This window comes from Homo sapiens, chromosome 2, assembly GCF_000001405.40.
Source record: "Homo sapiens chromosome 2, GRCh38.p14 Primary Assembly".
Classification (NCBI taxonomy): Eukaryota; Metazoa; Chordata; class Mammalia; order Primates; family Hominidae; genus Homo; species Homo sapiens.
The window spans coordinates 175,141,073-175,157,624 of record NC_000002.12 but is presented as its reverse complement, the minus strand read 5'-3'; the positions used below and the strand labels follow the sequence as shown (position 1 = coordinate 175,157,624).

Sequence of the window (16,552 nt, the reverse complement as noted above, 5' to 3'; positions counted from 1 at the left end):
CTTCCCTTTATTTTTTTATGTTTGTGGGAAAGGGGCCACATCAGCAGCAATCATCAACCAATCAATAGGATCTACTTAGTGGTGAACATATTGGCTGTTTAATTGGTAAGAGTCGCTGGCCTGACCACACCACAGCATGGCCACTTGGGTTCCTGTAGAGATGGCCTCAGTTTCCAATGTTCCTCCCAGACGTTTGCTTCTTGCCCAATCGAGAGGGGATCTCAAGACTCCTGATTGGTCATTGTGAGCTCTCACCCTGCGTGGCTGTGTAGATAGACTGCATAGATACATGAAGTGGGGATGGGGGCCAAGGTCCTATTACTGCTGTTTGGAAATAACTTGCCTCTTACAGATCCAGCCTTATTGTTTTTCTGACATCCTAGTAATGGCAGATCCTGCACAAAGTGGATTTCAGAGTTAATACTGTGAGGAGACAAAATAATGAGAATAGTTTTACCAAAGACAATGAAATATTGCATAATGTCTGCATTTTGCCATTGATTTGAGTGCATCTTTAGAAAACTGAATTTCACGAAAACCCAGGACATTGCTGGAAATTGTATGCCCTTTAGAAACTTTATGTGAATTTTTATACAAATGCTGTTTTATGAGTTATGTAAAATGTTACAAAAATAGAAAAAAAATACCCTGTGTCTATAAGGTGGTGCTGCTGTTGAAGTCGTGGGGCACAAGTCCATCTTCCTGGTACCTTACAACTCTTCTTACCGTATTAATTTTCTGTTTCTGACTCATACATTACCACCTACTTAACATCTTAAAACAATAAAGATTTATTGTCTCACAGTTTTAGTAGGCCAGAAGTCCAGGCGGGCCCAGCCGAGTCCTCAGCTTAGGGACTTACAAAGCCAAGATGAGTGCGTTGGCAGAGCTGCATTCCTTTTTGGAGTCTCTAGGGAAGAATCCACTTCTAAGTTAATTCAGGTGGTTGGCTGAATTCAGTAGGTCTTTCCTTTCTTTGTGTCCCTCTTTCCTTACTGGCTATGAGCCAAGGGCTGGTCTTTTCTCCCAGGAGCTGAAGTGCTTTCCATGTGGCCCCCTCCAGTAATGGCAGGTCAAATCCCTCTCGTGCTTCTAACCTGTCTGACTTCTTTTTCTGGCTGAATCTCTGACTCCAGATGGAGAAAGTTCTCAGCTCTTGAGGTCTCTTGATTAGATTCCTGGATAACCCAGGAATCTATCTTATTTTTGGATCTGTAGTCCTTTTTTTTTTTTTTTTTTTTTTTTTTGTTTTTTGAGACAGAGTCTTGCTCTGTCACCCAGGCTGGAGTGTAATGGTGCAATCTCGGCTCACTGCAACCTCCGCCTCCCAGGTTAAAGCAATTTTCCTGCCTCAGCCTCCCGAGTAGCTGGGATTACAGGCACCCGCCACCACGCCTGGCTAATTTTTGTATTTTTAGTAGAGATGGGGTTTCACCATGTTGGCCAGGCTGGTCTCGAACTCCTGACCTCAGGTGATCCGCCTGCCTTGGCCTCCCAAAGTGCTGGGATTACAGGTGTGAGCCACCATGGCTAGCAAAGATCTGTGTAGTCTTTTTACATCTGCACTGTTCCTTTTGTGGTGGAAGGTAACCTATTAACAGGTTCCAGGGATTAGGGTATGGACATCTTTGGAAGGCCATTCTGCCTAATACACTCATATACTCCTGAAAAGAAACTTGATAAATTCTCTACCCTTGTACATTTTAAAGTTGATTCCTACAATTTTCATCATAGATTGAAATTGTTGAAAAAAATATAATTTCTGTTTTTTCCAGATACACCACTTTTATAAGTACCTAAATATCATAGTGATTTGATGCTGTCATTGGTTTTAAAAAACAAGCTTGAATTAATTCATTTCACAGTTGGAAGTTTTCAGCGTCCCTTTTTCTTATTAAACTTTATTTTCTTTCGACTTCTCCAACATAATTTTATTTGAATCCAATGTATTTTAATGTTTTAAAATTCTTTATTAATGACTCTGTCATACTTGTTTGTAGCAAATATACATTTAATTTTTCAAAATTTTTTACTGATTTCTTCATTCTTGCGGAACTCCCTCTCTGGACAATGCATTTTTGTATGGTATTTCCACAATGGAAGAGGTAATCATTAAATGAAAATTGTTATTCTTTCTGTCATCACACTATACAATAAAGTATATCTGAATTCCTAAACACAAAGCAGAACACCAATTCTTAAAGCTATGCTTTGCCTTTAATAGAAATATTTGTAAGACAGGGAAAGCCAGAAGCTTGAGGGTTAATGGTGTCTTGATTAATGGAGGTTTTAAGGCACTCTTATTTTAAATTATCCATTTGTTTTGTTCCATGGAAGCTTCTACAACCTAGGGCAACTCATTCTAATAAGATTTGGGATGGGGATAGGTATGGATTTCTTGTGAAAAGTGGGAGAATGAGGGCTCTGGGAAAGTAGGCAGATCATCTTTGGGAAAGCAAACAAAGGGAAGATGAAGATACAGAAGCTGATTTTCTTAAAACTTGTCTTGCTCAAGTATCCCTTGGAAAGCCTTAGTGTGTACCTTTAGTAATACATACCCCACTTTGTCTGTATCCCATACTGCCTCCTTGAAAGACTGTCCACCTCCTGCCTACCTCCTGTCCTCCCACAGGGACAGAAGCTAACTTCTCTCCACCACCCAGGATTGCCCTTGCATCTGTTACACACTTTTGAGGCCATGCCCAAGAGAGGATTAATTCCTTTCTCATACTGATGCCTACTTTTTGGGCCCTGTTTCTTGTCACAGTATTTGGCTCTTACCAGGAAATTTGCCATTAGCAGTGTTTGCACATTTCAGCAGAGATTCTACCCACAGGTTAGTGATATCCAAATATAGCCATTTGCTGCATAACAACATTTTGAGTCAGCAGACCACATATAAGATGTGGTAGCCATCATGATATAGTATAACACATTACTCACATTTGTAGTGATGTTGGTGTAAACAAACCTACTGTGCTACCAGTTGTATAAAAGTATAGCATTTGTCTTTCATTAAGACAAGGAAAAAATAGCACAATTACGTACAGTATGTAATATTTGATAAACAATGATGTTACTGGTTTATGTATTTAAATATACTTTTTAATCATTATTTTGGAGTGTACTTTTACTTTTTTTTAAAAAAAAGTTTATTTTAAAACAACCTCAGGCAGGTCCTTCAGGAGGTATTCTTCAAGAAGGCGTTGTTATCATAGGTGATCACGGCTCCATGTTATTGCCCCTGAAGACCTAGTGGGACAAGATGTGGAGGTGGAAGACAGTGACACTGATGATCGTCACCCTGTGTAGGCCTAGGCTAATGTGTGTATCTGTGTGTTAGTTCTTAACAAAATAATTTTAAAGTAAAAAATATATATATATATATATTTTTTTTTTCTTTTCTTTTTGAGATGGAGTTTCGCTCTTCTTGCCTAGGCTGGAGTGCAGTGGTGCAATCTTGGCTCACTGCAACCGCCGCCTCCCAGGTTCAAGCGATTCTCCTGCCTCAGCCTCCTGAGTAGCTGGGATTACAGGTGTGTGCCACCACACCGGCTAATTTTGTATTTTTAGTAGAGATGAGGTCCATGTTGGTCACGCTGGTCTTGAACTCCTGACCTCAGGTGATCCGCCCACCTCGGTTTCCCAAAGTGCTGGGATTACAGGCGTGAGCCACCATGCCCAGCCTAAAAATTTTTAAGATAGAAAAAAGCTTATTAGAATAAGGATGAAAATATTTTTGTATAGCTGAACAGTGTGTTTGTGGTGGTGGCTTTTTTTTTTTTTTTTCTTTGAGGCAGAGTCTCGCTCTGTCGCCCAGGCTGGAGTGCAATGGTGTGATCTCGACTCACTGCAACCTCTGCCTCCTGGGTTCAAGCGATTCTCCTCTGCCTCAGCCTCCCAAGTAGCTGGGACTACAGGCATCCGCCACCATGCCCGGCTAATTTTTTGTATTTTTAGTAGAGACGGGGGTTTCACCATATTGGCCAGGCTGGTCTCGAACTCCTGACCTTGTGATCCACCCTCCTAGGCCTCCTAAAGTGCTGTGATTACGGGCGTGAGGGTGTGAGCCACAGCACCCAGCCTAAAATCTTTTGTACTGTGTTTTTACTGTACTCTTTCTGTGTTTAGATACACAAATACCATTTTCTTACAAATGGTAACAGTATTCAGTACAGTAACATCCTGTACAGGTTTGTAGCCTAGGAGCAATAGGCTATATCATCAAGGTTTGTGTGAGTATAGTCTGAAGTTTGCACAATGATGTTTTGGCCTAACTTCACATTTCTCAAAGAATGTATCCCTGTTGTTAAGTGATGCATGATTATGTAAGAAAGACGTCTACAATAAGTCAGGTAGTGGGGGCAAAGCAGAGGCTCCTTACATCTGTGCCTTTCAAGTTACAAAAAAAGGATGTTATTTTTAATGTTGTTCAAAGTCTGGGTGATTATCTTAACATTGCATGTGTTAAGACATAAGCTATACAGGCCAGTTACAACTGGCTATCTTATTTCTTTTTGCTTGAAATGACAATACCAGTTTGTCTTCCAGTTTTTTAGGGTATTGTATTTAATGGAAAAAACCGCAATTACTTTTGTACCTGGTCTTTTGTGAGTAACTGCTGAAATAAGAACCCAAATATCTCTATACAAATAGGAAAACCCGAAGCCATACTTTAAAAATAAACATTTCTCTGAAAGAAACAATTTGCAGAAATTTATCTCTATCAAGAAGATGTGGTCCTTTACATTATCCCACAGAGCCATTTGTCCTTTGAATTGCTGCTCCATTTTTGTAGTCCCTATTTTACATTTGTATGGCTGAATATACTATTTGGGTCCTTTTTCCCTTAAGGAACAGCCTGTATATAAAGCATAATTTTGTTGCCAGCTTTGAAATGAGTTTTTAGTTTCTGATACAACAGTGTTTTAAACATATTAAATATTTAAACATGTTTCAAGCAATCTTGAAAGTGTCAGGAAATCAAAGTTAAGTGCAACCCTTCTTTCCAACATTCTGCACAATAGGGAAATCTCCCAATACCTATATGACCTGGTAATGGAAGCTCAGCACTGAGAAAACGTAGAGAAAAGTGTCTTTCTCTTTGAATATTGTGCCTTTTCTTAATGCGGTTGGTAACTGAGCTTTCTGCCAGGTTCTTACTCATTCTCACCTTGACCACACCATTTATTTACATAATGATTCTGAGCAGTCATTTCTGAGTTTTGTAGACTGAGTATGTGAGTTTACCTTTCCAAACTACAACAATTTAGGTTGTTTCTTTGCTCTTATGTTGTCATTCTGGTCTTCATATTTTTCCTTTCTTTTGTCACCTATAGATTAGCCTTACATATTAAAGAAGTCCTTATGAATGTTAGTCTTGGCTCCTGACAGGACCTTCTGCTTTCGAAAACTCTCTTTAGTAGTTTGCCAAGCCATCTCCATGAGGTATCTGGACATCTTACATTTTAGAATGAAATAAGTATGAGGACAGAAACAACTAATTGTCTGCCAATATTCCTCCTATTATTTTTTCTTATTGGTAGATGCTCCAGTTCTTAAGCATATGGTGAAATAAAGGACATATTTCCTATCCCCCCGATAGCTATGGTCATATGATTAAGTTCTAAGCCATGAAATGTAAATAAAAGTTTCCTGTGAAATTTCTGAAAAATTTCCTTAAAGGGAGGCTATTGCTTATCTCCTTTTTCTCATCTTGCTGTCTGATCAGCAGATGTGATGGCTAGAACTTACTTGAACAGTTATTTTTAAAACCATGAAGGAGAAGCCACATGTTGAGGATGGCAGACCAACAAAATATAAGGACCCTTGGTTCCAGGCGATCATGGTTCTGGATTGCCTATGTTTTTTTGTGAAAGAAATAAACTTCTGAATCATTTAAGCCAGTTATTTTGAGTGTTCTGTCATTCCGTTGTTATTTTGAGTTTTCTATCATTAACAGCTGAACCTAATCCTAACTGATACACATATATTTAAAAGTCAAGCTTTTTCCAAATAAGCACATAGACTGGGTCCCATGGGTTTTATTGTGCAGCAATGACATAAGAAAAACTGTTAATCTCCACTCTAAAAATTTTGATGCTCAAATTCAGCACTGACATTTCACCTGTTATCTATGACTCCTCCTCTTTCATTTTTCTACTTTCACCAAGGTTTCATTGCCTTACTTCCATCCTTGAAATTGTTAATACCTCTAATAGGTGGTAATATGCCAGGAGTTACGGGAGGCTACAGGATAAACATCTTCCTGGAGCATTGACAATTTGGAGGGAGAACCTTAAGTTTTATATTGAAAAACATGGAATGGGAGGCAAAATTTACATACATTTTTGAAATATTAAGAAAACATTTTTAAAAATTCTATGGAATTGAAATACAAGAGGCTATTAATTTAGATCCCACATGGTAATAAGTTCACTCTTTTCTGCCTCTCTTTTTCCCTAAGGGTACTAGATGGAAACTTGAGAAAGGACTGCTTATTGATAACAGCTAAGGTATTCCTGGAAGCAGAGTAAATAAAGCTCATGGCCCACCAGCTAGAAAGGTAAGAGATTTTAAGCTTTTAACATAAAAGTATTCTTTTCATTTTGTGATTATCTTTCAAATACTACCGAATTTAGTAGATGTTTCCAGACAGTTGTCTTCAGAATGCTGAAGTCCTACCGTATTGATAGTGTTTAGTAAAAAAAGATGCTGAGATTCAGCAAATTTGGAAATGTCTTTTGGAGATAGAATGAATGTGAGCATATAAAAGCACAATGAGGACTTAGGTTAAATATTTAATTTTGTTTAACATAGAGTTTCCTAAATTTATCTGACTAGGGACCCCTCTTTAGCAAAGGGTTCCGATATAAAGGTCTCAGTTCTTCTAAGAATAATAATATAAACTAATCTGAGGTATTTTCTGTCTTTCAAAAATATTTTGGGCAAAAAGTTTACCCACTCTAGGGCCGTACAAGCTAATGAAAATGTCAAATTTATTTGCTTTCTAATTGAATGATATCAACTAAGTTTATTACCACAGTTGTCTCATGCTGATCAGAAACGTTAATTGGAAGTTATACAGTCCCTTATACATACCTTTATTGAATACTGTGTGCCAGCCACAGAATGGTGATATTAGAGTATAAAGTAAAAAAAAATTTTTTTTTCTAATCTCAAGCCATTTACAGTTTGGGGATGTAGCTTCTAAATATGGAAGGAAAATACCAATTTAATAAATGTAGTCTGGCGTACAAAATCTTTCAAAACATAGTGATAGACTTTGTTAGATATATCAAAATATACAAGCAGATTGGGTTTTTTGTCACACCTGGATCTGGAGGTTCACATCAAAAGAGGAACTATGCATAAAAGTATAGTTATTCTAATTTTGACAAAAATTCGGAAAATAATTTAAATCTGTCAATACATTTATATATTTAAAAAGCAAAAAATTTTAAAGCAAGTATAAAGCAGAATGGGTGATAACACTTGATAATTTTTTCTTACTCTGTGATACCTGCATTAAATAATTTTAAGCTGCTTGACTAACTTAAATGATCAAGTTTACTAGAAGCAGTCATCATAAAATATAAGCTCCATTAGGTCAGGAACTGTGTCTGTGTCATCATACCCTGAAGTCTAGCACATTCCTACCCTATTGCATGTGCTCAATAATGTTTATTGACTGAATGATGGGGTAAATGAGAGATCCAAATTTGAGGGTAGGGGAGTAGTAGATGGAAGAAGCTCGGAAGTTAGTGGTGTTGACTAAGAAAGGAATGGATGAATGGGAAATGGATGATATAAGGGAGGAAACTGATTAAAAGCCTGCATAGCTAGAGCCAGAGATTAAGGGGAAGCCTAAGACTGGTTAGGAGGTAGTGGTCAGTCCATGCAAGGGTCTAGAAACAATGTTAAGCATTTGAGACTATCCTGTGAGCTGCTTGTTTTTTTCATAACTGATCCTTGACTCTCATTTTGATAGTACTGCTTTAGTTCAGACCATTATTCTCCCTTCAACTTAGCAGTAGCTTGTGCCAGTTTTCTTTGTTTTGTTGTTGTTGTTGTTTAGATTTACCTCTTATTTTTGTCATTTTTTGCCAGTTTTCTTATGCATAGTGTGCTGCCCATCTTCTATACTTTTATTAGTGATCTTGCAAAAATCCTCCTCTTGATTTAGTTCACGTACTTAAAATGTTTCAATTTCTTACTACAGAGTTAGACAAACTTTTTCTTTAATGGGGGAGTGGGAGACTGGGAGACTGATCATACATATTTTAGACCTTGTGGGAACCACATGTGATCTCTGTTGCATAGTCTTCTTTGTGTCCCCGCCCCCACCTTTAACAATTTTAAAGTGTGAAGAACTCAGCACTTTGACCCAGGGCCATAGCTTATATAACCTTGGGGCAGTGGGAAGGGAAGGAAGGATGGTGGAAGGGCAGGTAATGGTGGAATCCAAACATTTTACCATGTTATTAAAGGCCTTTCAAGATTTGGATATCTCTCTGGTCTTACTGTCTTAATCTTCTATCCTGTTGATGAGAAGAGTGAAACTCTATAAAATATTTGAAGAGATTTATTTGGAGCCAAATATGAGTAGCCAGTGGCTAATGACACAACCTAGGAGACCCTGAGAACATGTGCCCAAGGTGGTTGGGCTACAGCTTGGTTTTATACATTTTAGGGAGACATAAGACATCAATCAATACATTTAAAATGTGCATTGATTGGGTCCAGAAAGGTAGGACAACTGGAAGTTTGGGGGGTGGGGTGCTGTGTTCCAGTTCATAGGATTCAAAGATTTTCTGATTGGCAGTTGGTTGAAAGAGTTACTATCTAAAGACCTGGAATCAATAGAAAGGAATGTCTGGGTTAAGATAAGAGGTTGTAGAGAATAAGGTTTTATCATGCAAGAGAATAGACTGTAAATGTTTCTTACCAGACTTAAAGAGTCTGTTCTATCAATCTTACGGTCTCTGTGTTGATATTAATGTTGGTCAGCTGTGCCTGAATTTCAACGGGAGGAGGGTATAAATGAGGCCTGTGGGACCTCCACTTCCCATCATGGCCTTAACTAGTTTTTCGGGTTAACTTTGGAATGCCCTGGGCCAAGGGAAGGGTCTGTTGGTTGGGGGGCTTAGAATTTTATTTTTGGTTTACAGTCCCACACTTCAGCTATCAGAGGTTCTCAGAGTCTCAGTGGACTGTGCTTTATTGTGCCTCAACATGCTGTCTCCTCTTTATGAAATATCCCAGAATGGCTGATGCCTCTTGCTTTGAGAAAACTCAACTCAGGCATTACTTCCTTTAGTAGCATTTCAGGGCCCTCTCCAGGATTGGCTAGGTATTTAGGGAATGGAAACTCAATCAGATAAATTCAAGTAAAAAGAGGGGGTGGGACTCATACTAATGGTACTGGAGACTCTCGGATCCAATCACAAGACATAGTTGGGCATCACAGAAACTATTTTCCTTCATGATTTCTCACCTCTGTTTTTCTGTGCCTACTCCATTCTGGCTTTTATTAGTTTTTTTTTTTATCAGTAAGAACATGACAGAAAATGTCTACCGGTCCTAAAATATGATTTTGAATCTCTGATGCTCACTTCTGTGTGACTGATTTTTTCTTTCTACAGATTTCCTGAAGAGGTAGTCTGATTGGCTTAACTCGGTCAGTATCTCCCCTAGTTTACCTGAGGCAGGTATGTCAGGATCATGGATATGTAGGATTGCCCTTTTCTCCAATGTTGGCAGATCAAGCTCTTTAAGAGGGGAATATGAATGCTTTTGATTTATGTTCCCATAGCCTGTCTTTATTATTATATGTATCACTGAATTACTATTTTCACTTTTTCTCTTCCTTACTAGTCTGATTTTAAGGGCAGGGACTATGTCTTATTCTTTTTAAAAAAATGTTTATGTATTTTCATAAAAACCATGGTAACATCAAGCAACTTTTATTCTTAATATGGTATTAGATACAAAATAGGTAGTGAAATGTTTTCCAAATAACTTTTATAAAGTAAATGATTTGTATTGGAAATGCTCAGAGTGCTATGTATTATCTATAACATTTAGTATTACCTATATTTTAGAAACTTGTTTGGAAACTTGAGTACGTGCTTAAAAGGTTAAGAGTTTGCAATGTTTATAGTTCTATAACCAACTAAATAGAAGATCAAATTCATATTTTAGAATCCGGATATTTCTAACGTTAGTCACCAGAAATGTGTTTGCTCCCTCCCATTTTTGTAGACTGATTTAACAGCACTATTTTCTATGAAGTGAATTGCTTTCCTCATTTGTTTTTGATAGGGATGTAGGAAAATAAAATATTTTATCGTGTGAATCACTTCAGTGATAGAATTAAAAATGACATGGGAATATTGATACTACAGCCTAAAGCATCTTCCTTTTCCTCAACAGACTTAACCTACATGTCATATTTTAAAAAGGGAACAAGGAGCTAATAGAATAAATGATTATATGATATCACCCTTTGAGTCTTCTGATTTGTAAATTATTCTACTGTAGTATAATTTTATTTGCTCTTAACCTTGCAGTGCAGAATGTAGTTTTTCTATTCTTTGATATATATCATAGCATGAAAATTATAAACAAAAAACAAGCAGAGTTCTTAGAGAATAAATATATCTTGTAGTGTTTTTTTCATGACTACTGCTACAAACTACATCGATGCTAATTATATAATGGTTATACAGTACTCCCCCGTTATCTGTGGAGGATAAGTTTCAGGAGCCCCAGTGGATGCCTGAGACTGTAGATAGTACTGAGCCCTATACATGCTATTTTTTTTCCTATGTAGTAATGAGCAGGTAGCATATATAGCCTGGATGTGCTTGACGAAGCGACAATTCACATCTCAGGTGGGATGGAGCAAGAAGATGCGATTTCATCACTCTATTTAAAACAGTACACAGTTTAAAGCCTATGAATTGTTTGTTTCTGGAGTTGTCCATTTAATATTTTTAGACAGCTGTTGACTGTGGGTAACTGAAACCATGGAAAGTGAAGCTGCAGATAAGTGGAGGACTGCTGTGTAATGAATTATTACAGTGCATATTATTTACATACAACTTAAACTCCTTCTATAAGTTTTTATTTTTTACTTCAAAACTCTTTAAGGGTTCTACAATAAGACATTCTGTTACAAAATCACAATATGTCCATGAAAGTCAGGAAGTTAACATTGATATATTGCTACTATCTAATCTGCAGGTCACATTTAAGTTTTTCCAGTTGTTCTGATAATGTACTTCATAGAAAAAGGATTCCGTCTAGAATCTCAGGTTGCAATTATTTGTTATGTCGCATTGGTCTTTTAAAATCGGAAACAGTTCCTTAATGTTTCCTTGACTATAATGATTTTGGTGCTTTTGGAGATTATTATGCCAGTGAATTTATAGAGTTTACCTCAATTTGGGGTTATATAATACTCTTCATTATTAGATACAGGTTCTATATCTTTGGCATGACTATTATAGAAGTGATGCTGTTACATTCTTATTACATTCTATCAGTGGCACATGATTTTATCTTTCTTATTTCTCGTGGGGTTAAGTCACATCACTTGATTAAGGTGATGTTTGCCAGGCTTTTGTGCTGTAAATTACTTTTGCCCTTAGTAATTAAGCTGTATAGGGAGATATAATACTTTGAGATGATATAAATATCCTATTTCTTATCAAATGTTCAGTTTATTCCTTTATATCAGTATGGGTTCATAGAACCCTCTTTATTTACGATGTGATCCATTACTATCATTATTTATTTTGATCATCATATTATCCCAGATTTAAGTCCTTTCTTACTTTCTGGCCAAATCTGGCAGCAGTACAGGATGCGTCTTGAATATCTTGTGCCAGAAAGTAAGGAAGGACTTCTTTATTTCCACTACAAGACCCATCCTGTACTGCTGAATTAGAATCAGCCAATTCTTCAAGGAGCTGAGGTCCCTTTTGGTGGAGAATGGTATTTACGCACCGTATTAGGCCATTCTTGCATTGCTATAAAGAAATACCTGAGACTGGGTAATTTATAAAGAAAAGAGGTTTAATTGGCTCCTGGTTCCACAGGCTATACAAGCATGGCACTGGCATCTGCTCAGCTTCTCAGGAAGCCTCAAGGAGCATTTACTCATGGCAGAAGGCAAAGCAGGAGCAGGCACATAACATGGTGAGAGCAGGAGCAGGAAGAGAGTTGCAGGGGGCACACAATTTTAAAAAATCAGATCTCCTGAGTATTCATTCACTGTTGAGAGGACAGCACTGAGCCATGAGGGATCTGCCCCAACACCTCTCACCAGGCCCTACCTCCAACATTGAAGATTACAATTCACCATGAGATTTGGCAGGGACATATATTCAACCTATATCACACTCCAGAGTCTGGATGCTAAGTGTGCTTATTGGGGTTTCAGTGTTCCCAGGCCCTCTCAGTGGACACAGCTAGGGACCTACATGACCACATATGCGTGCATATACACATTAACATCTATATTTCTGTATCTTTATGTTGAGAGCCATAAGTTACCATTAGTATCTTCAAATGTCATCTAATACCAAGGTTCATTCTATATTTATAATTCCCTTCAACTGTAGTATGAATTCACTCTTACCTAGCACATCCTTGATATGTTTACTTATTTGATCAATATCCACGTATTTACATAATGAATTGCCTGGTGCCATTAGGCACTCACCTTTCCTCTCCATCAAGTAGATGTCTTCCTGTTTGGGTCCTGACACCCTGTGCTGGACTAGTGCCACTCCTATCCTTTACTTCATGTGGATGCCGCCTTAGCCCACTTGGGCATTGACAGCTCACATCAGGCTGCCTTCCCTTCTTTTCTTATCCTTCTGAGACTCCAACATTAAATGCAGGGCTGACCACCCCTTTCCCAGCCCAACCCTCAACTCATCTATCTCCCAGTGGACATCTTTCTCACTCTGCTTAGACTCAGACACTGCAGTGGGCTGCCCTCAGGTAGCCTGTCTGAGCTACCTCCCGTGCAGACACTCTATATTTGTTTTCTCTGGTGGCTTAACTTTTATGTGAATTTTAAGTTGGAAGATGTGTTTTGCCGGTTAATTTCTTCCATTTTCTTCTATTCATCTTTTCTTAAAATGTTTTTCTTTATTATTCTCTTTTCTTATTGGCATTTTATAATACATGATTCCATTTGGTAATGAGCCTGTCTAATAACTCTAGAAATTCTAAAAGTCTCTCTGTACTATTAAAAGTGGTTTACATAAAATTTCTGTATAGTTGTTAGTCGTAAAATAGCAGGAGAAATATTTTTGTCCCATTTTTGACCTCGAATAAGTCATTTTACCCTTTCAGACCTCAGTCTCCTCATTTGCAAAATGAATAGTTAGGACTATATTAGGAACCTAACGACGAGGTGCCCGATCAGAAATCCATGTCATAAGAAAAAGCCTATATTCTATATTCAAGTGAGAGAATTTTAACTAACATTTTTTTTTAAAAAAAATGGGCAAAGAATCAGGTGCAGTGCCTCATGCCTGTAATCCTAGCACTTTGAGAGGCTGAGGCAGGAGGATGGCTTGAGCCTAGGAGTTCAAGATCAGCCTGGGAAACATAGGGAGATCCTGTCTCTACAAAAAATGTAAAAATTAGCTGGAGATGGTGGTATACACCTGTGGTTCCAGCTATTTGCGAGGCTGAAGTGGGAGGATTGCTCAAGTCTGAGAAGGTGGAGCCTGTAGTGAACCATGATCATGCCACTGCACTCCAGCCTGGGTGACAGAGCAAGACCTCATCTTGAAAAAAAGGCGGGGGCTGGGCAGAGGAGGCATTTTACATAGAACTACAAATAACCATTATATATATGAAAAAGTTCAGCCTCATTAGTGTGTCAAGATATGCAACTTAAAAATTAGTTTTTTTTACTAATATGACAAAAATGTTAAAAAATGATATCCACTGTTTGTGTTGGTATTAAGAAATGAGGTCTTTCTCTGCTGGTAAAGTAGAAATCAATACTGTATATTTGGAGGGCAGTTTAGCAATATAAATTGAAAGCCTTAAAATATGCCTTTACTTTGATATAGCAGTTTCACTTCTAGAAGTTCATCTTGTGGAATTTATTACAGATATTGCACAAAGATTTGTCCCAAAGATATTCATTGATGATAAAAGCCCATTAATAATTATATGATGGAGTACTATATAGCCGTTAAAAATGACATCTATTTAATGACATTACTATTTAATTATATGGCAGAATTTAGATAATTGCATTTTAGAGGAAGTTGTAATACTATTTATATATTTTTCTTCTTTTTTTCATTGTCATAGAGTCATGTTTTTATAATTTATAAAGTTATGTATCACCATACATTGACAAGACTAGACTATGTACTCTGAAATGTTAACAGTAGTTATCTCTGAATGGTAGTATTCAAGGTAACTTTTATTTTCTTTTTGCCCTTCTGTATTATTCTTGGAGCAGATTTAAAGTTCCTTATAATGCCTTAGTTCATTAGGTGTAGTTTAGTTTACATTATTAGGATATAACAAGTGATCTCCTTCTGAACGCCAATGAAAACTTCAGCTTTTAGTCAGGCATGGTAGCATTGCCTGTAATCCCAGCTACTTACTTAGGAAGCTGAGGCGGGAAGATCACTTGAGCTCAGGATTTCAAGGCTGCAGTGAGCTATGATCATGCCACTGCACTCCAGCCTGTGTGACAGAGCAAAACTCTGTCTCTTAAAACACACACAGACACACACACACACTCTCTCTCTTGCTCGCTCGCTGTTGCTCTCTCTTTCTGTTTCTCTCTGCAGCTTTAGGGTTTTTTAGAATTATGTAAGATTGATCACACACACACACACACACACACACACACACTCTCTCTCTCTCTCTCTCTCTCTCTCTCTCTCTCTTTCGGCAGCGTTAGGGTTTTTTAGAATTATGTAAGATTGATCATTTATACAGGATACCTAATAGCAGAAATTGCTATATGTTGTCACAAACAAAATTGAAAGTAGAATTTAAACAAGTATGGAGTTCTAAAATAACATGCTTTATAGCAATAAAATAGAGGAAATACGAGGAACATATACATGTTTGTATGTGGAACTATCTTAGAAAACTGGAAAGAGGGCCAGGCACAATGGCTCAGGCCTGTAATCCCAGCACTTTGGGAGGCCAAGGCGTGGATCACCTGAGTTCAGTAGTTCAAGACCAGCCTGGCCAACATGGTGAAACCCCATCTCTACTAAAAATACAAAAATTAGCCGGGAGTGGTGGTGCGTGCCTGTAATCCCGGCTACTCTGGAGGCTTGAACCTGGCAGGCGGAGGTTGCAGTGAGCCGAGACGCAACATTGCACTCCAGCCTGGGCGACAAGAGCGAGAGTCTGTCTCAAAAAAAAAAAAAAAAAGAAAAGAAAACTGGAAAGAGGAAGCCTTCACTTTTGTACTGATCTAAGTTCTGCAGCAGAACATCAAGCAAGTGTTCTCAGTTCATAGGATCCTCTTATGTCTATATTAAAATAACTGCCTATTACCTCAATATATTTTGTAGGTTTTTTTCTTTTCTTTTTTAGAATTTTCAGGGATTTGCTCTTCCCTATTTTTCTGTTCCATCTCTTCCTCTAATCTTGGGAGCAATTGTTAGTGCTCTTTTACCCCAGAGCTGTTTTTGGTCATATTTCTCATTTGAAGTTTGACAACAGTTTGTATGGAGGAATATTTATTTTTTTCTGAAGTAACACATGTAGATAGCATACATGTTAAGATTTTTGTAGATTCACATTTGAAAAATATATTTATAGGGACCAGGCACGGTGGCTCACACCTGTAATCCCAGCACTTCGGGAGGCCAAGGCGGGCGGATCACGAGGTCAGGAGATGGAGACCTTCCTAGCTGACATGGTGAAACCCCGTCTCTACTAAAAATACAAAAAAATTAGCCGGGCATGGTGGCGGGCTCCTGTAGTCCCAGCTACTTAGGAGGCTGAGGCAGGAGAATGGCGTGAACCCGGGAGATGGAGCTTACAGTGAACCGAGATTGCGCCACTGCACTCCAGCCTGGACGACAGAGCGAGACTCCGTCCCGAAAAGAAAAAAAAGAAAAGAAAAATATGTTTATAGTTTTATGTTGATTCTACCAGAACCACATACCTAGGTGAAATTTTTAAGTGTTGAAGATAAAGCTTCATGTTGTATTTAATTTGGATAAAGTGCCGGGGGCACTTTATTAAGCCCCTGCCAGTAGGAGACAGAGAGAAAGTTGCCATTTCAAACCTGGAAATTATGCTGAGTTTTTGTAGGATGTGAAATGAAGAATCCAGCCCATGGTGGGATAGGAGGAGGGAAAAAAACTAGGGTGAGTTTCACTGACTTAAGTAATTGACAGATACCATTTATGAATGGTCAAATGGTCATTAGCCCTGGTCTTTGACTTCATGCAGCTATGGCAGGAAGGTTATTTCACAAACCTTGAAGTTGATATTTTAAGGATATTTGTGTGTGTGTGTGTGTATACATATATAT

The 16,552-nt window shown here is 38.0% G+C and overlaps 1 protein-coding gene across 13 annotated transcripts in view; it reads left to right on the top strand.

The window, feature by feature from the left end:
• ATF2 (activating transcription factor 2) overlaps positions 1–16,552 on the top strand; it is a 95,945-nt gene that overhangs the window by 10,579 nt on the left and 68,814 nt on the right. For 7 of the 13 annotated variants that reach the window (NR_045773.2, NR_045774.2, NR_045771.2 and 4 more), the window contains exon 2: positions 6,467–6,565. The gene's annotated coding sequence lies outside the window, so the exon portion shown is untranslated. Of the gene's footprint in view, positions 1–6,466; positions 6,566–9,644; positions 9,680–16,552 lie in introns of all 13 variants that reach the window. The other 6 variants (NR_045772.2, NR_045770.2, NR_045768.2 and 3 more) reach the window with 1 other exon arrangement.